Source organism: Homo sapiens, chromosome 1 (genome assembly GCF_000001405.40).
Source record: "Homo sapiens chromosome 1, GRCh38.p14 Primary Assembly".
NCBI classification, from domain to species: Eukaryota; Metazoa; Chordata; class Mammalia; order Primates; family Hominidae; genus Homo; species Homo sapiens.
The window spans coordinates 43,142,422-43,161,829 of NC_000001.11; the positions used below are offsets into that span (position 1 = coordinate 43,142,422).

The 19,408-nt window shown below is 44.0% G+C and overlaps 1 protein-coding gene across 3 annotated transcripts, besides 1 other annotated feature; it reads left to right on the plus strand.

Moving 5' to 3' along the window:
* The first annotated feature begins 540 nt into the window (after positions 1-540).
* CFAP144 (cilia and flagella associated protein 144) lies at positions 541-13,975 on the plus strand. Of its 3 annotated transcripts, none has more exons than XM_005270876.5 (4): positions 541-2,876; positions 8,340-8,399; positions 10,407-10,558; positions 13,785-13,975. In XM_005270876.5, exons 1-4 carry the CDS (start codon positions 2,828-2,830, stop codon positions 13,890-13,892), a joined length of 369 nt encoding a protein of 122 aa, XP_005270933.1. In that variant the 5' UTR covers positions 541-2,827; the 3' UTR covers positions 13,893-13,975. The 3 variants fall into 3 exon arrangements, with proteins under 3 accessions (XP_005270933.1, XP_005270932.1, NP_001094846.2); XM_005270875.6 differs by lacking the exon at positions 541-2,876 and adding an exon at positions 5,483-5,663; NM_001101376.3 differs by lacking the exon at positions 541-2,876 and adding an exon at positions 5,483-5,663 and having other exon boundaries at positions 10,407-10,510.
* Positions 10,509-11,472: an enhancer, noted in NCBI's record as "H3K27ac hESC enhancer chr1:43618601-43619564 (GRCh37/hg19 assembly coordinates)". NCBI's record gives its function as "activates a minimal SCP1, AML or CMV promoter by ChIP-STARR-seq in primed H9 embryonic stem cells {active_cell/tissue: H9 hESC(primed)}" and the evidence as "EXISTENCE:reporter gene assay evidence [ECO:0000049][PMID:30033119]".
* Positions 13,976-19,408: the final 5,433 nt, after the last annotated feature.

Here is a 19,408-nt window from a genome sequence, read left to right on the forward strand (position 1 = left end):
AGAGAGAAAGAGAGTGTCCAGGAGATGTTAGGGGACAGTGCAGGGAAATGGTGATGTATAGCACAAGCTTTAAGGAGCAAGAGGTTTTCTTTTTTTTTCTTTAAACATCCCTCCACTGGGAGTTCAGACCCACTGCCCATCTATCTCCCTAGCACCTGCTGCTCTGTGTTCCCCCACAGGCCCCTCAGGTCACTCAGCATCCTCAGCATTGGGCGGGTCACTGCTTGGCTCAGCAGAGACATGAGGAAGGGTCCTGAGCTTTATAACCCTTGGGCACTGCAGTGGGGAAGTGGTCATGGGCTGGGGCACCATTGCTGGTTTTCAGTGTTCGTGCTGAATTTATCAAAGTTTAACAACATACCTTATACCAGCAATTCAAGTCTATTTATATGTAAATATGCATATTATATTTATTCATCATATATAGTTGCATCATTTATACAAATATCAATACAACTGACTCTAAAATATTATATATTTAATAAATAAAGTCTATATTACAAATACATATGTACATATACACATAATGTGTGTAATTTTTTTTTAACTTTTAGGCTCTGGAGTGCATGTGCAGGTTTGTTATATAGGTAAACTGCATGTCACAGGGGTTTAGTGTACTGATTATTTGCCACCCAGCTAATAAGTATAGTACACCATAGGTAGTTTTTCAATCCTCTCTCTCCTCTCACGACCGTCAAGTACACATGTAGGAGCAAGAGATTTTTAGTAAGAAGAGAGGAATAATGGTTTGAAAGGAATCAAAAGGAGCAAAGAGAACCTATACACCACATTCCCACACTGAAGTACTTAGAGTTTCAGAGAATAAGTAGAGTCTCTACCTGAAATACACAGGAAGCAATGTCCTCAAGGGAAATCCAAATTACATTTAAAGCCAGGAGAAGCAAGGAACTGTCCGTAAAGAAGCAGTCTAAGGAAATAGGGAAGTTTACTAATCATGCAGCTGAACTTCCATAGAGTACAACTGAAAGTAAGGGAGGAAAAGGGTGTTGGGTCAAGAAAGAACAATCAGAATATTATGGTGATAAAAATACCAGAGAGAATAGGTGAGCAAAGGGACTTATGATTTGGATGGTGATCAAAGAAACCAGGAATGGTCAGCAGAGGGGGTTGCTTCATCAGACTAAAGAAAGGGGGAGGGTGCACTCTCCTTAGTTATCTGACATGGAGACAGGCATCTCTGGTAGTGAGCAAGGAAGTCCAAATCTAGTCGTTAGGCACCCAGGAGTGGGCAGTCATCCTGCCAGTCTCAGCCCTACGTTTATGGTTCCAGTTAAGAGTAAGTCATCAAACCAAGAGAACACAGGAACCAAGATGGTACGCTCCAAAAAGTTCAGTTCTGCTCTGAAGCGCCCCCTACAGGATCCTGTTCAGAGACGCAGGAGGAGGCAAAGCTGCTGGTCTGCGCTTTGCGCCATTCTGTGCTCCCTCCTACCTGCCCTCTTTTGGCCCAAGTTCTAGTCCCATCTGCTTTGTCACCCCCTGCCCACCTAAGGGACTTCATTCTCTGGTCTTCACCGTCCTCATGGTAAAATGGACGTGACATCTTTAATCACACATATCTATCCAGTGATGTAAATGCAGTGAAAAGGGCTTTGAACAGTGTTGTCAGGGAAGGAGACTGAGGCACTAATTTCTTCCCATTTTCCCAATTCCTGCTTCAGCACCGCTCACCTAGGCTCCAGCCCTCTAAATCTATCCTAGCCCTTTGGTCGATCTTTGCCTACTGAGGGCAAAATTACATAGTATCCCAAAAACAAGGATTAATACTACAGCCCCATTTCTTCTCTTTGCCATTTCCCATGACAACTCTTAAACCTAGAAACTGGTGCCATTTCCCTGATTGGTGGGACCTGCTCACTAGACCAAAAGGGATGTGTATGTACATTTCATAATGGGCATTCAGTTAGGGGATGATGTGAGGGCTGTGTGTGAGATAAATCCTGGAGTTGGTCTGGCCACATCCCAATGACTCATTTGGACTCCTTTGGACAAGTAACTAGAGCTCCCATTTGAAAGAATGACAAGCAAGCTACCTCAAATTTCTCTTTCTCAACCCATGACTTCACCTTTTCTGTTCCTTAATGCTCTCATCATCCAGCCCTCCTTTCTGCTGTTTTTCCTCAGTTTTCAAGCCTGCACCCTAGTCTTCTGTGCCATCCCACTTTTTTGGGGTTCTGCCCTATCTGTTACCCCTCTCCGAATAATGTCAGCCCCGCCCACTACCCTACTGTAAGGATCTGCCCAGCTCTTCCTCTGTGGGTTTTAAACCGTGCATCTGCTGCCACCACGTTCATCAGGGTCCCAATTTCCATTACACCCCTGCCTTTCCCCCGCTCCTCCTCCTAGCCCTTGTTTCTAATCCCCTGTACTCTAGCTCCCACTCCCAATCGAGCCACCCCCAACCAACCATGACAATTCACAGCTCTCATCCTGGAGAGATGGTTTCCCTCATGCTGGGACAGTTCTGGGGCAGTTCAGAATTGCCAGGACTGTGGATTCCCAGCAGCTTGGCCTGGTGGACACACGGAATGCAAGACAACAGCAAACCCACCTTCAGCCTTGGTAAGTGACAGGACCCCTTTTCCATGACCAGATCCTGGTTACCTTGATACTATTTCTATTTTGTCTCCATTCCCGTCTGGGCAATCCTCTTCAGATGCCAGAGATTTCCTTTTTTTTGACAGTTTGCTCCTTTCCTCTCATGCCTGGTCAGCCAGCCTGCATGAGGTTCTCTACGTTTGAGACTGGCTTCTCCACGGAACTTGGTCTGTAGCCACAGAGCAAACTGCAGGGCCATTGACAGAGAATGAAGAGGAGAGTGAAGAGTGGAACACATCTAATGTGTTCTCTGGAGGGTAAGTCTTGTCGATCTGCCCTGCATTCAAGTGAGTGCAACCCCTGAGAATCACACATAGGGCACAAGGTCCCTGCTGTAGATAGATGGGGACTTAGGTTTGTTTCCTTTGGTCTGGTTCCTCCCAGACTCCATTTTCTTCATCCTAGGATTCCAGGACCATCCCAAGGACGTTCTGCCCTTGAGAAATGTCTCCTGCAAAAAGGGGAGGGTCCCTCCATTGTGCTCTCATCAAAGCTCTGAGGGTGAGCCTCTTGCTCAGGCAGCACTTCTACTTCAGAATGGGAAAGGTAGCAGTCTAGAAGGCAAGAATGTGTCCAGATCCTGACCAGATGATAGCATCACATGAACACATGACATTAAGAAGTGCTCTCCTCAAACTGAGGTCTAGATTCAATATAATCTCAATAAAAATCCCAAAAGATATTTTTAGGGAACTTGACAAGCTCATTATAATTTATATGGACATACAAAGGGCCAAGAAGCGGCAAGACTGTCTTGAGAAGACATTCTTCCCTACCAGATATTAGAATGTGTTACATAAATTATGGTAATTAAGATAGTGTAGTGCTGTTGCAAGCTTAGACAAATAGACCAATGGCACAGAATAGAGTCCAGAAATGGACTTGCACAAATGGGGACACTTTTTTTATGGACACAGTAGCATAGCAGACCAGTGAGGAAGGACTATCTCTTCAATAATTTGCTGGTGGGTCAACTGGATACTCCTTTGGAAAGAAAAAATTAAGCTGGATTCCTACCTCACACTGCACTCGAAAACCAATTTCAGGTGGAATACAGATCTCACTGAGAAAGGGTAAAACAACAAATCCTCTTAAATATTAATAGTTCTGCCCACAGATGGCCATGGAGCTCTTGAGATGTGTTATGAAGTGTAAAATCTGCACTGGATTTTAAACATTAGTAGGACAAAACAATGTAAAATATCTCAATAATTTTTATATTCAAACGTTGAATCATTGACAAATTGGATATACTGAGTTAAATATCACATTATTAAAATTAGTTTTATCTAATTCTTGCTCTCTTAATGCAGATACTAGAATGTTTTAAACTACATGAGTGGCTCAGCTCATACTTTTATTGAACAGCACTGCTCTAAAAAGTAACATAAAAGTAACCTCAGGTCATCAAATTAGAAAAAGATGTCTTAAATGAAAATTAAGAAGCAATAATCATAAAGGAAAAGACTAATATATTTGACTACGTTTAACTTTTGGTGTCCAGAAGACACCATTAAGAGACTAAAATGGCAAGCCACACAGAGGGAAAATACATTTGCAGCATGTACAGCCCTCAAAATAATATATTAAGAACTCCAACAAATTGATAAACAATCCAATTAAAAATTTTGTTCAACACTGTGTCCCAGACTAAACCCATTCTGCAATTCACATTGTGTCCTGAGCGAATGAATGGATGGATGAATGAATGAAGTACTGAGTGGGGAAGAGCACAGTCTTCAGACAGTATTTAGGTGCTTACTAAAAATAGGGGTGGCTTCTTTCTTTATGCTAGACCTACTTTTTATTTATTTTTTATTTTTTAGAAGGAGTCTCGCTCTGTCCCCCAGGCTGGAGTGCAGTGGCGCAATCTTGGCTCACTGCAACCTCCGCCTCCCGGGTTCAAGCGATTCTCCTGCCTCAGCCTCCCGAGTAGCTGGGATTACAGGCATATGCCATCACGCCTGGCTAATTTTGTATTTTTGGTAGAGATGGGGTTTCACCATGTTGGTCAAGCTGGTCTCGAACTCCTGACCTCAGGTGATCCACCTGCCTCAGCCTCCCAAAGTGCTGGGATTACAGGCGTGAGCCACCGTGCTCGGCGATTCTTTTAAAATAAACTACATTATTTAAGGTATCTAGCAGACTCAAATTCATAGAAACAAAAAGTGAAATGCCAGGGGCTGGAGAGAAGGGAAAAGGGAAACTTGTTGTTTAATGGGTGTGAAAAAGTTCTGGAGATTGGTTTCACATAGTTTGAATATACTTAATACTACTGTACTGTAATACTTAAAAATGGCTAAGATGGTAAAATTATATTACGTGCATTTTAAACACAAACATTAAAAATAAACTATAAAGTCAACAAGTTCCTTAATTAGGAAAGGTTTATTCTGTCAATATTATCACATTGGTAATCTTGGTCACACTGGCCAGAACGTTTTCTCAGAGAGGAAACCTCCGGTTTTTTTGTGAGGTTTTGATTCTGGGCATCTGCTTTAAGGTGGGAGAGGTTTCTGACTCCTTCCAAAAGCTTTTTTAGGAAATGATTGGCCAAGGTGAGGTCCAATCATCTGTCCCTTACCTCCTGGGTCTGCCCCTTGCCGGGAAGCCCTTTCCTGGCGGTATCCAGGGGACCTTCTAGTAACCAGCCGGGCCTGAGGAGCTGGGGCAAGTGAGTACAGTGCCAGAATAGGGCGGGGCGCGAAATAAGATCCCGACCGGCGGGCGCGGGGCGGGGCGATGCAGGCAGGGTAAGGGGCTGGCAGAGTGAGACCCGCCCCGACCGGGCAGCACTACCCGAGCGCTGTTGCCTGGAGACCACGGGACGCCGTTGCCTGGAGACAGCGGGGACGCGTTGCCTGGAGACTGTGGAAGGCCCAGGCAAGAGGGCGCGTGGCAGCCCAAGGCCATGGCGGGACACCCAAAAGAGAAGGTGATTCCAGATGAGGTCCATCAGAACCAGATCTTGCGGGAACTGTACCTCAAGGAGCTACGAACCCAGAAACTCTACACGCAGTATCACGTGAATCCCCTCCGCAAGAGTGAGAGGCACGGCGGGGTGGGGGAAGGGCGAGAGCGGGAGGGCGCCGGGGAAGGAGGAGCCCTCCGGGTTGCGGGGTGGGAACGCGGTCCCAGCAAAAACTCTTTCCCCAGCACCCGCCCCCTTTCCTAGATTTCAGGAACCATGACTTTGGAGAGGCCACATCATATCAGATGTATTCGCTGTATTAAAGTTCATGCGCAACACGATTAAATCTTTTCGTTGTAGAAAAAAAAAAGTTGTAGGGCTTTTTATTATTTTACTTTTGAAATAATTATATTTTGCAGGCTGTTTGTGTTTTGTTTTTGTTTGTATTTTGGGTTGTTTTTAACAAGTGAAAGGTTTTTCTTCAGGCTTCTGATATTGCCCTTCGGAAAGTTCTGGGGTGCCCCCTGATAAAACATCCCTACCCTCCACTCTTGTCACTGAGCACTCTCCTTGGGCAGTTTGTTCTGTCCTGTCACACCAGCTTCCCCTGAATGCCACTGGGCCTGAAATGGAGCTTCAGATCCACACGCCCAACCACCTCACAGCTCCCCTCCCTGGACAACCCACAGGCACCTCAGACCCAGCAGGAGGAAAGCCAGGCTCATTCCCACCTTCCCCACTCTCTGCTGCTCCAGAATACCCTGTCTCTGCAAAAGGCCCCGGATGATTCACTCTCATGATCAGAATCATTCACTCTCATCATCTAATGATCTCATGATCATTAGAAGCCTCGGAGTCCTCCTCAAGGTCTCTCTCCCTCCACACACTTAAAAAAAGGCACAAGTCCTGTTTATTAACATTCCTCTCCCCTGACCCACTTGTTCCTGCTTCAGTGAAAGACACCATCATGCATATGGATTCCTCTCTGCCTCTGCTCAGGTACTTTCATGCTCTAAGTAGCACCTCAAACAGCCTCTGCCTGCATCCTCACTCCTGAAGCCTCTGCAGGGCCCTAGTCCTTGCCGCCTGGATTGGTCTGATGGGCTCCCAACTCCTTATTCTCTTTCCCTCCAAGCTGGCCCCTCCGACCAAACCCCTACACCTTTGCTAGCTTAGCACTATGCTAGGAGGACAATTAGATCACATCAATCCCACCTAAAATCCTTCTCATAGCCTCTGAGGTAAAGTTTAAATCAATCACGACATAAGGCGCATTGGATCTGGCTCTGGTTCCTGCCAGCTTCATGCCATACTCCTCTCCCCCACTTTACCCTGCTCCTTTAAGAAATACTTTGGTGCCTACTCTGCACCAGCCATTGCTGACGAATCCCACACACACTCCTTTCCCCCCTGCCATTTCTAAATACATGGATTTCCTAAATGCATCATGTCATTTCCCACTTTACCTGCATAAACATTGTTGCTTCTTCCTGAATGCCTCTCCCAACTCTGTGCCTAATATGTAAAGTCCACTTTGTTGCCTGGCTCTATAGAGAAAATGTACTGTCTTCACTTTCCTTCTAACTAACTTGGTTTTCTTCTGGAGTCCCCAACCACTAGTTTCAGGAAAGCAAATTAGTGTCCAAAGCCGTTCAAACTCGGTCCATTCCAAATAATGGAAATAATCTCTTCAGGCAACCTTCATGCTCTCTAGGGAAAATGCTGCCTCCCAGCTCATGTCCCTTGAGCATGTGAGCCATTGGAATAAAGTGAGAAAATATTACAACTTGTATTGATTACTTTTATTTATAAAGATAGAAATTTTATTTGCTAATATACTGATAATAGTCCATAAAAACTATATAATTATACATATTTTAAGGGCGCATGCTCTAAAGTTCTTTTACTGATAGGAGTTTGAGACAAGCAGCTTGGAGACCACTGGTTTCTACTGGTGTCTGCTCATTTCCCACTACTCTCCATCCAGCTCACTCCACTGGAGCCACTCTGGCTCTCTTGACGTTTCTCAAACTCCCCAGGCTCACGCTCATATGCTTCCCACACACACAGCACATTCCCTCACTTCATTCAAAACTCTGCTCATATGTATCTCCCTAGAGATACATCACCCACACCCCAGCCCCAACGCCAACTCTCCATCCACGTAACCTGCTTTACTGTTCTCTATCACACTTACATTTGCCGGGTGATATATGTATGTTTATTGCCTGTCACCACAAATAGAGTAAAAGCTCAGGGGACACAAGAGCCAGCTCTGTCTTGTTTACAGCCTGTTCTTCAGTGCACAGTAATTATGAGCTGAGTGGATGAATGTGGGTGCTGCTCCTCTGTTACCATGTGCCCTCCTGGGCATAGATCACTGCCTGGCAAACCTCTTTGGCCTTCCCCATAGGCCAGCACTGTCCAAGAGAATTCATCAGTGATGAAAATGTTCTCTGTCTTGGCTGTAGTCAAAACTGTAGCCATTAACCGCCTGCAGCTATTGAGCACTTGAAGTGTGACTAACGTGGCTAAGGAACTGAAGTGTTCATTGTAATTAATTTTAGTTATTCAAATTCAAGGAGCCACATGTGGCTGATGACCACCATTCTGGGCAGTGCCACTCTAGATTGTGAGGTTCTTGAGGGCCTTATCCAATCGTGCATTATCCTAGCACCCAGGATAATACCTGGCATGTACCAGATACTCAGTGAGTGCCAAATGGGTGCCCTGTTTAAGGTGGACCTTAGAGAGGGCAGGGAACTCATGTTTTAATCTGAACTTGTGAAGCTGTTTTCTTTTTTTCTAGTTCATACAGTCACCAGGAAGCCCATGTCTTGGCATGATAACCTGGAGGAACCTGCAGATGGTAAGTCCTGGGCTTTGAAATGCCATTGAGATAGAGCCCAGAGAGGCAGGCTGGCTGGAGAGACCTCTCAGGGTCGTGATATCTTGGAGCAAGCATCAGAGTCCTCTGCTTTGATCCTGGAAATGGGACTCATACTAACCAAGCTCAAAAAAGACGGATACTCAGACAGTCTGTGGTAGATAGAATAAAAAAAATAAAAATTTTTTTAAATAAAATTTTTAAAAGATGGACATACTCAATTATAACTGTCAAGCCAACTAACGTTCCTATTGACTTAACATTGCCTTCGTTCATTCATCAAACATGTAGATGTTATAAGCACAAGTTCTGAAGCTGTACTAACTCAGTTCAAATCCTGGTTCTGCTACTCATTAACTGTAACATTGGGCAGGTTTTTTACCTCTTTTAGCCTATTTCTCAGGATTGATGTGAGGATTAAACAAAGCAATACCAGTGCATAGAACAGTAGCTGGTACATGGTCCTCAGGAAATATTAGTCCCATGATTATTTTCATTATTAGGTAATCTCTATGGTGGGGCTGGGTGGAGGGATCTCATAGCATAATGAAGAAGAAGAGAAGTAGACTTGGAAATAAGTAGACAAGTAAAGAGGGACCATGACTGATGTGAGAACAGCATAGGAAACAGGTGCCCCCATCAGGCAGTGGAGTTCTGGGAAGACCTCTTGGAGGAGGCGACCACAGGGTGAGGTGGAGAAGATTGTGGAAGGACATTCCGAGTTCTATAGAAAGTTACAGAAATGAGAAACATGACTACAAGTAGTTTGGCATGGCCACAACATACAGGTGGAGAAAGGGCCCTATTTGGGAGTGAGAGAGGAGAGATATTTGGTGGAAAACCTGATCCCTCTTGGAAAGCTTTCCTTCTTCCCCTCTACCTTCCATGAGCAAAATTTGGTGAAGGACAGATGACCGCGGCTGGGATGGGAAGTGGGGGAGCAGAGGCTCTCAGAGCATTACGAAGGAGGCAGATAAGTCAGTAGACTAATAGAGAGGGCATCATCACAGGCAATAAGGTGTTATCTGTAGTGCACTCTCCTGACTAGGGTAAAGGATGCAAGCTGGGAACCTGTAGCAATAAGGAATAGAACAGGAAATGAGGGTCCTGAAAGCCAGGCAGGAGTTAGCTGCTCGCTCTCTTATATGAAGGATGTGCCAGCCCAGTGTCAGTCCCTTGAATCACCTTCCTTCATTTCATTCCCAGCCATCTTGCTGAGATAGACATTTTCCTCCCATTTCACAGATGAGTAAAGTGGCCCAGAGAAGTGATGCCACCCAACAAGCCGGTAGTAGCACTGACTCCAAAGCCCAGGTTCATTCCATTGTCCGCCTGCGTCTCTCCGGTGGAGACTCGATAGGGCAGAACTATGGAGCTGCAAATCCATCTGTTGTCGGCAGCCATACTTATTTCAATACACAAAGATTTGACCTCACTTCTTACAACCTTGCTCCTCACTCTCTGTTGTGCTACACTGGCCAAACTCGCTCATGCCTCAGGACCTTTGCTCTTGCTGCCTGTGGTGTGCTCTTCCTCTGCCTCTTCCCAGGGCTGGCTCCTGCTTGGCAACCAGAGAGGCCTTCTCTCGCCACCCCATCTACAGCAGCTGCCCTTGCCTGCACATGACCCTTCACCTATTCCTTTCTTCACAGTGTGTATCCCTGTCTGCCACCATCACGTCATTTTGTAAACCTGAATACTGTGTCCTCTGCCTCATCTAGAGTATGAGCTCTAGGAGAGCAGGGACCATGCTGTCACTCAGCACTCTATGCCCAGCGCCCGGAAGCATGTCTGGCACAGAGTTTGAGCTCACCACATATTTGTTGAAAGATGAGTGGAGAGACCAGACACCCTGGTCTTGAGGCTGAGGCAAACCTCCAAGGCACAGATGCTCTGCCTGAAAGGAACAATGTGGACGCAGGAAAGGGCACAGGACCAACCTCTGGTCCCAAAGCCTGACTCCTTCATAACTCATACCTCGTCTCCCAGCCAGGTTTCTGAATCTCATTCACCATGCTGCCCAGGGACCAAGGAAGAAGTACCCAGAGACACAGACTGAAAACCAGGAAGTTGGATGGGACTTAGAGCCCTTGGTAAGCGTGGCTCCTTCCTCAGGAAATACGAGGAAACACAGCAGCAATGTAAGTGGTGACCGTAGAATAGAGCAGGGGGCCAGACATGCCTGGGCTTGAACCTGGCTACCTCTTACCAGCTGGATAAGTTACTAAGCTCTCTTATGACTCAGTTTAATTGTTGTAAAATGGAGCTAATACAGTACCTATCTCATAAGCTTGTTATGAGGATGAAACGAGGTGATATTTGTGCAGTACCTGGAACAGTGCCTGGCACATGGTAAACACTGTGTGTTTAAATAAAGGTACTGACAACAGATACCTGAGTCAGCTCCATCAGCTATCAGCAAGGTGGTCTTGGGTGTACCACTCAATATCTCTGAGTTCGGCTTCCTTATCCATAAAAAATGGACATGTGGCTGAGCGTAGTGGCTCACACCTGGCATCCCAGCACTTTGGGAAGCCAAGGCAGGCGGATCACCTGAGGTCAAGAGTTTGAGACCAGCCTGGCCAACATAGTGAAATCCCATCTGTACTAAAAATACAAAAATTAGCTGGGCATGGTGTCGCACGCTTATAGTCCAGCTACTGGGGAGGCTGAGGCAGGAAAATCACTTGAACCCAGGAGGCGGAGGTTGCAGTGGGCCGAGATCACGCCATTGCACTCCAGCTTGGGTGACAGAGTGAGACTCTGTCTTAAAAAAAATATTAATTTTAAAAATATATAAATAAATAACATTTTTTAAAATTAAAAAAATAAAAATTTAAAAAATTAAAACAAAAAAGCATAAAAAATGGACGTGTGAGTAAGGGTCCTCTCCTTGTTTGATTGGAAGGGCACAATTAGCCACTTTAGCACACAATCACCCCAAGGAATACAGTGCTTCCTTTTTTAAGGAAGAAATGTGCAATATGGAATAGACAAGTCAAAGAAATTTCTGCCACACGAGTCTTTAAATCTGCTTATGTCTTTGGTCATGCAGAAGGTTTTCATTTTTAAGTCATCAAATATGCCACCAATTCTCATTATGGTTTCTGGGTTTTGTGCCTTGCTTAGGAAAACCTTCAACACCTACATTACCAAGCAACTATTCTATATTTTTCTCTAACTTTTTTTTCTTACTTCTTCTTCTCTCTTTATATATGTGTGTGTATATATATATATATATATATATATATATATATATATACTCTCTTTTTATATATATAAAAATATATTCTCCCTTTTTATATATATATTCTCTCTTTTTATATTCTTTTTATTTATATATGTAAATATATATAAATAAAATTATATATAAATTATTATATAAATTTTTATATAAAAATTATATAAAATATTAAATAAAATTTTATATAAAATTATATAAAATAAAAATATATAAAATAAAATTATATATAAATAAAAATTATTTATATATATCCCCTCTTTTTATATATATACATACAAAATATGTACATATATATGTACATATACACACACATATATGTATACATATATACGCACATATACACACACATATATGTATACATATATACGCACCTACAAGGACGGACTTGGTACAAAGAGACAGGTATGGTTAGAGAGCTGGAGAAGATAACTACTCAAAGAGAAAGAGGAGGTGGGGAGGTAACATCGTGAATAAGAGAAAAGTGTTAAAATATGTATTCAATGACAGTTATTGAATATAAATATGAATAATGGGTCAATATTCAATGACTGTTAAAAACCAGAAGGAATGGTACTGGAAGTGCTAGTGGAAAAAAATAAATTTAAAATTTAAAAACCAGAAAGAAGACTTTTCCAAGTGGGGAAACTACTGTGAAGGGCATAGGCACCACTATGAGGTTTTGCAGTGAGGGAGGGAAAGAGCCTGGCCTCGACTCTGATTACAGCATGGGCAAGTGCGACTGTGTAGCCAAGGAACGAGGTGGGGGTAAGTGACGGAAAAATACTAGGAGGAAACATCAGGGATAAGGGCAGATTCTGGCTAATTTCCACCTAATAGGGTGCTTGCTGAAGGCAGGCTAGCAGGATCAGACATCACTTGGAGAGTGGTGGAGGATGGGGAACCCAATCAGATATCAAGGGTGATCAGATATTAAAGGTAGGGGGTTCTGGTTAAATCAGCTTAGCAGGATTTTTGCTAGAATTGGACAATGTAGAGGAAATGGAAATCCCAAAATCAGACCTAGTTGAAAAGTAATTCAGGGTTCCTGAGTAGAGTTCATTCAAGGAAAGAATCTTTGCCGGGGAGAAGAAAGGTTGTGAAGGATGGGGTGTTTGTGTGAAGATAGAAATCAGCCAAGATAGATCATGAAGCAACTTAGAAGAATAGTACAATGCACAAGTAAATTAATTCACCATTCTTCATTTTGTTAAAGAGTAAAGACCTGGCTCACACAAGTACAAAGTGTGCATGTGGAGATGTTGCATCTTTGACCTTCCAGGACATCTCGTGCAGGCTTACGATGACAGGAAGGACAAGTGTGGCCTGCCCTGCTCAGACCTTCGTAGGCTCTGCAGATCACAGAGTGCATGTGTCTCCAGATCAGTGAGCACTCTGGAGTTGCAGAGGGTCTGCAAATATTCCATGCTGTTCATCATATAAACCTGGGGACAATGCCATCACAAGAGCACTGCTAGCATAGTAAGAAAGTATACCCCAAAAACCATGAGATGCAGGTGTTGTGTAACCAGAAGAGGTAATTAAGTTGGAGCTTCAGAATGAAGTAGCTGGGCCAGAAGAGGCTTGATCAGCTGCAACTTGAAGCTCCCTGCCCCCTGGCAGAGCCTCACCTTGGATAGACAAGATACCTCCAGTCTCAGTACTGGGACACTGGCAAAGCCAGACTCAATGACCATCATTCAGCCTCTCATCTCCTGGTAACATTTTCTGGAAATACATTTTTTAAATTATTTGCACGGTGTAACTTCTATAAGATCGATGTGTCAGAGTGCCGACTTTTACTTAGATTCTATGTGACTCTTTCAACAAATTCATTCTTTCAGCAAATATGCATTGAATACCTAGCATGCGCTGGGTCTTGCTCTAGGTGCTGAGGATACTGTGGCCTCCCAGTCAGGCAGTGTGACAGGGAGAACCACGACTGTGCGTAGGTTATTCTCCTCTGACCTCACAACCTTTTTGATGTACATGTGGTCATCTCCATTCCGCAATGCAGCCACAGGCTGGGAGGGTGGAGCCTGATATAAGCCAGGCCCATTGACTCCAAACCCAGGTCCTCCTGCATCCTCACAGGCTTCTTTCTGATTCTGCATCCTCCTTTCTAGATCAACCCAGAACGCCATGACCGCAGGCTGAATCACTTCAGGGTCTGCAGTGACATCACTCTGTACAAGGCTAAAACGTGGGGCTTAGGAGATGATCACCACAAGTAGCATCCCAGCGGATGAGCCCATCTGTGGATCTAATGCCTTAAGTGTGCACAGCCCAGAGAAATAAAATACTACTTTAAAACGAAGTTTCACTTTTCTCATTTCTGGTCAAGTCCACTGATTGAAATCCTTGTGTGGTAAAGCAATGTGAGAAATCAGATAAAGATGGTGGGCTAATTGCATACAATCATCTGCTCTGCCTTCCTAATAGTAATAAAGGATCACAAAGGGATACAAAACCCACCACTGAGAGAATGGAAGGAAAATGTTACCAATAGAAAAAAACTGGAAGTGTGTTCAGGAGATAGAAAGCTGATGGAGGAGGATGGCAGGAACTACAAAATGCAAGCTGATGGAATGCCTCTGGGCACAGGGTTTCCAGAACTCTAGATAGAGGTTCAGGACTCTGAGACAGAGTGAGGTGTGAAGCAGAGAACTGAAATTGGATGTGGGTAGGGGTAATCCCACCCCTACACCAGAAGCCAGGTTTATAACCTCTCCCCCACGCTGGAGGCTGGGGGTTTATTCTTGGGGGAAGAGGAGAAGCCCAGGGCTCAAGGATACTAAAACACAAGGCATGAGCCAGGCATGGAGCTGAAAATCATCTGTGAAAATCTACAAAAAGAAGGCTGAACCCCTAGCCCAGGTGCCCACCCACACATATACTACATTTTTACCCTAGGTTTGAAGATGGAGTGTTCCCCTCTGGAAAAATAATGAAACTTCTCTAGAGACCCCCACATAGTACTGTTTGAGAGACCTTTAAGGAAAGAACCAGGGAAGTCAGTTTACATTTCCCCTTCCTGCTACGAACCATTGCTCCTGGACCTCATCCTGTTAAGCTAGCACGTGCTTCAGAGTTGCAGCCATCTCAGCTTCTGCTCAGCCTCTGCAGCCACTGTGCCACCTCTGCATGACCACATAGGCCACAGATCTGTGCAGAGTGAGCAAACGACTGGGTGGGGGCTGCATCAGCAGAAATCTGGTCTCCTGCACCCCTAGGTGCTGCACGTCCCTGAGGAAAGGGTGGAGGGCACAAGGGATCCAATACCATCTCTTCCTCATGGGGCCTTAGCTTCTTAAAGAGGATGCCAAGGAAGGGAGGGGGCGGAAGGAAGGAAGTCAAAGGAATCTTTACAAAAGGGCCAGCAGGTAAGGAAAGTAATCTAGGAACTGATCATAAAGATGTCATTGAGCCAGGCACTGAGGCTCAAAAAAAAACAAAAAAGGAGAAATGAAATCAAAGAGGCAACTCACGAGATAATGGAGCAGGCAAATGAAAAGAAGTGTGCTGAGGCCGGGTGGTGGCTCACGCCTGTAATCCCAGCACTTTGGGAGGCCAAGGCAGGCGGATCACGAGGTCAGGAGATCGAGACCATCCTGGTTAACATGGTGAAACCCCGTCTCTATTAAAAATACAAAAAATTAGCCGGGTGTGACAATGGGCACCTGTAGTCCCAGCTACTCGGGAGGCTGAGACAGGAGAATGGCGTGAACCTGGGAGGCGGACCTTGCAGTGAGCTGAGATGGGGCCACTGCACTCCAGCCTGGGCGACAAAGCAAGACTCCATCTCAAAAAAAAAAAAAAGAAAAGAAGCGTGCTGCCGCTGAAGCCTCAAATGATGAGTTCCAGAAAGTTAGACTTGTTCCCAGCTGCCATCAGGCTAGAGCCTTTGTTGACCATTCTGTACACCAAGGGAGTTGTCTTTGTAAAACCGCAGAAGCCAACGTTGCCATCCTATGTTGCTATTTAAACCATAGAAAACCAGAACAGGAGCATTTTGGCATTTTTTTAAAACTAGGAAGTATAAAAACTTAGAGAAAATAAAATTAATATCTAAATTTTAATATGTAGTGATCATTTTGGCTTTTCCTTTGGCCTAAGCGGATAAAGAAGAAACTGTTAAAGATCTCTTATTCCTGAGTGAGGGGGAATGCATCTAATGACAAGAAATCATTGCTCATTATTTAAAAAGAGCTAGGTATATTTTGTCTTAGGATCTTGATTTTTATTTTAATTATTTGTTTTGAGAAGAAGGCCATGGACCCTCCAATATATAGTAGGGTTTGGTTAAGGATGGAAACCCTGAGGGCAAGTCTCAGCAGATTCGCCCCATTTTATGTCACAGAAGCTCATATACAGAAATTCAGAGTACATTGATGAGGAGCAGTGGAATCCTGCATTGTGGTACAAGGTAAGATACTTGTAAATGCTGCATATAATCTCGGTTCTCTTTTGTAAAATACAAATGAAATACTATGCATCGTTTTTATATCAGAATAGAACAGGTTAATTTTCCTCTACATATCTGTTTGCATATTTCTTATGTATCCACTCTGCTTGTTTTCAATGTTCTTTTAAAATTTTTGTTGGGCTAAAAAGAGCCTTTTCTTTGGTATCATCATAGCTACCATCATCTACAGCGAAACTGCATATCTAGTACTGGAAGTAATTCAACCAGCAATGTAGTAGGTAATATACAGGATAATGATCAGATATCATTTCTGATTGGCCAGAAGAGTGAGTTTACATGCATGCAGTTGAGGTCCAATGACTTCCAATTAAAGATCTTAGGCCTGGCGTGGTGGCTCACACCTGTAATCCCAGCACTTTGGGTGGCCAAGGCGGGCGGATCACCTGAGGTCAGGAGTTCGAGACCAGCCTGGCCCACATGGTGAAACCCCCATCTCCACACTACAAAAATTAGCCAGGCTTGGTCGTGGGCGCCTGTAATCCCAGCTACTTGGGAGGCTGAAGCAGGAGAATCACTTGAACCCAGGAGGCGGAGGTTGCAGTGAGCCAAGATCACGCCATTGCACTCCAGCCTGGGTGACAAAGCGAAACTCCATCTCAAAAAATAAAAAACAAACAACAACAAAAAAATCTTATACCAAAAGATTCTGCAACATTATTGGACATCTTGTCTTCAATGTGAGAAAGGTACCTATTATAATTACACTTGAATTCATCATCATGAATATTTGAATTTTCAGGACAGCATAAAAAGTGGATTTGTTGATATGCAGAAAGGTGAATCTAGTTTTATAATCTAGTGTAAATTATAAAATAGATTAAATGCCTGAATGTTTTCATCACAAGGTTGTGCTCTGAAAGCAATCAGTGTGCTTCTGCAGCTCTGCTCCTGCAAAGAGAGCAACCACATTTTCTGCTTTCATCTCCTTCCCAACTCTGCCCGAAAAACAGAAAGCTCTTACTTTGTATACTCATCTAAAAAAGCATATAAAGTCAGTCTTCACTTTGCACAATAGTGCAGGACTACAAAGATGTCCTGCTTGCTGAAACTATGCAAAGTGATCTTAATCATCATTGGGGGAAAATTACAATTGTTCTGTGACCTTTAAAAAAAATTGTCCAAAAGTCCTTGAGGTGGGCAGATCACGAGGTCATGAGATCGAGACCATCCTGGCTAACACGGTGAAACCCCGTCTCTACTAAAAATACAAAAAATTAGCCGGGGGCAGTGGCGGGCACCTGTGGTCCCAGCTACTCGGGAGGCTGAGGCAGGAGAACAGCACGAACCCGGGAGGCGGAGCTTGCAGTGAGCCGAGATCGCTCATTGCACTCCAGCCTGGGCGGCAGAGCGAGACTCCGCCTCAAAAAAAAAAAAAAAAAAAAAAAAAAAGTACCAATCTGGCCGGGCGCGGTGGCTCACGCCTGTAATCCCAACACTTTGGGAGGCCAAGGCGGGCGGATCACAAGGTAGGGAGATCGAAACCATCCTGGCTAACATGGTGAAACCCCGTCACTACTAAAAATACAAAAAATTAGCCAGGCGTGGTGGCGGGTGCCTGTAGTCCCAGCTACTCGGGAGGCTGAGGCAGGAGAATGGTGAAAACCCAGGAGGCGGGGCTTGCAGTGAACCAAGATGGCACCACTGCACTCCAGTCTGGGCAACGGAGCAAGACTCTGTCTCAAAAAAAAAAAAAAAAAAAAAAAAAAGTATGAATCTTTAAGTCTTCGAAACAAAACTAAACAATGAAAAAAAAATTTGTGTGAAAGTATTAAAAACTCTGTTCAATGCGTAACAAAATTAAAATACTAAAATTTAGTAGACTCACTTTAAAACAGTAGAAATATTGAGAATCAAGTGTTTTATTTCTGTATGAAAAACCATGCTTGTCTTCTTTTTTCCCTTCTATAACTTACGATGAAGAACAAGCATTTTTTCCGTGCCTTGGCAAATTGTCTTTACTCCTTTCTAAGTTTGGATTTAGTTTCAACATTTTATCACTTGATCTTCCAATGTCATTAGATAGCTCCAAGAGTCCCTTTAATGTACAGTTTTTTACTAGTGTCACTCTCTGGAGACATCTTCATCCTTTCCATCTCTTTCCTCATTTGTAAGTTTGCCTTCACAAGGTTTCTCTGGCTGTATATCTAGTCTCTAGAAGGGCAACAGCATTCACAGTCCAATATCAGCTATTTCATCTACAATTCCATTTGCATTGCACTCAAATTTTACTTCCAGCCTCACCATTTAAAAAATATTTTTTTTTTCTTTTGAGACAGGTTCTCACTCTATCACCCAGGCTGGTGTACAGTGGCACAAACATAGCTCACTGCAGCCTCAAACTCCCAGGCTCAAGAGATTCTCCCACCTCAGCCTCCTCAGTAGCTGGGACAAGTGCATACCACCAATACCTGGCCAATCTAAAAAAAATTTTACTCTATTTTTTTTTGAGATGGAGTCTTGCTCTGTCGCCCAGGCTGGAGTGCAGTGGCGCGATCTCGGCTCACTGCAAGCTCCGCCTCCTGGGTTCATGCCATTCTCCTGCCTCAGCCTCCCGAGTAGCTGGGACTACAGGCGCCCGCCACCACACCTGGCTAATTTTTTGTATTTTTAGTAGAGACAGGGTTTCACCGTGTTAGCCGGGATGGTCTCGATCTCCTGACCTCGTGATCCGCCCACCTCGGCCTCCCAAAGTGCTGGGATTACAGGCGTGAGTCACCGTGCCCTATCACTTTTTGTTTCTTTGGTGTACATTAATCCTTGGTGGTCAATTCCCTCTCAGGTATCTACTTCTATAAAATGCATGAGGAGTTTATTGCTAAAGACAAAGAGGCAACACAACTACACACTTTGCTGTGTGTGTGTGTGAAATGAATAACTGATGCAGTGACTGATCTTGGGACAGACTTTGAAAGAAGTGATGGTCACTAGTCTTCGTGCATCTGTCATTTATGAAGTGATTTGTGGACTAAAGAGCTAGCAGCGACTGTTTCTACTTTACGCATCTACTCAGTTATTACTTTGGTAACTGAAATGTGAACATTGTTGAGAAACTTATTTAATTACATCATGATAACTGAATTCATGCATATTAGAATCTGTATTGGGGACTCCTAGGTTCCTACTTATTTTTCAATTGATGGGATTGTATTTATTTTAAAGCAATATGAAGGAGGCTGAGTGCAGTGGCTCATACCTGTAGTCCCAGCACTTTGTGAGGCCAAGGCAGGATTGCTTAAGCCCAGAAGTTTGAGACCAGCCTAGGCA

What these genes read in the sequence shown, in the direction of transcription:
- CFAP144 (XM_005270875.6), top strand. Translation starts at nt 5,531, where the DNA reads ATGGCGGGACACCCAAAAGAGAAGGTGATTCCAGATGAGGTCCATCAG. An exon ending in CGTGAATCCCCTCCGCAAGA is followed by an intron (nt 5,664 to 8,339) that starts GTGAGAGGCACG and finishes CTTTTTTTCTAG; the next exon opens with TTCATACAGTCACCAGGAAG. An exon ending in CCTGGAGGAACCTGCAGATG is followed by an intron (nt 8,400 to 10,406) that starts GTAAGTCCTGGG and finishes CTCGTCTCCCAG; the next exon opens with CCAGGTTTCTGAATCTCATT.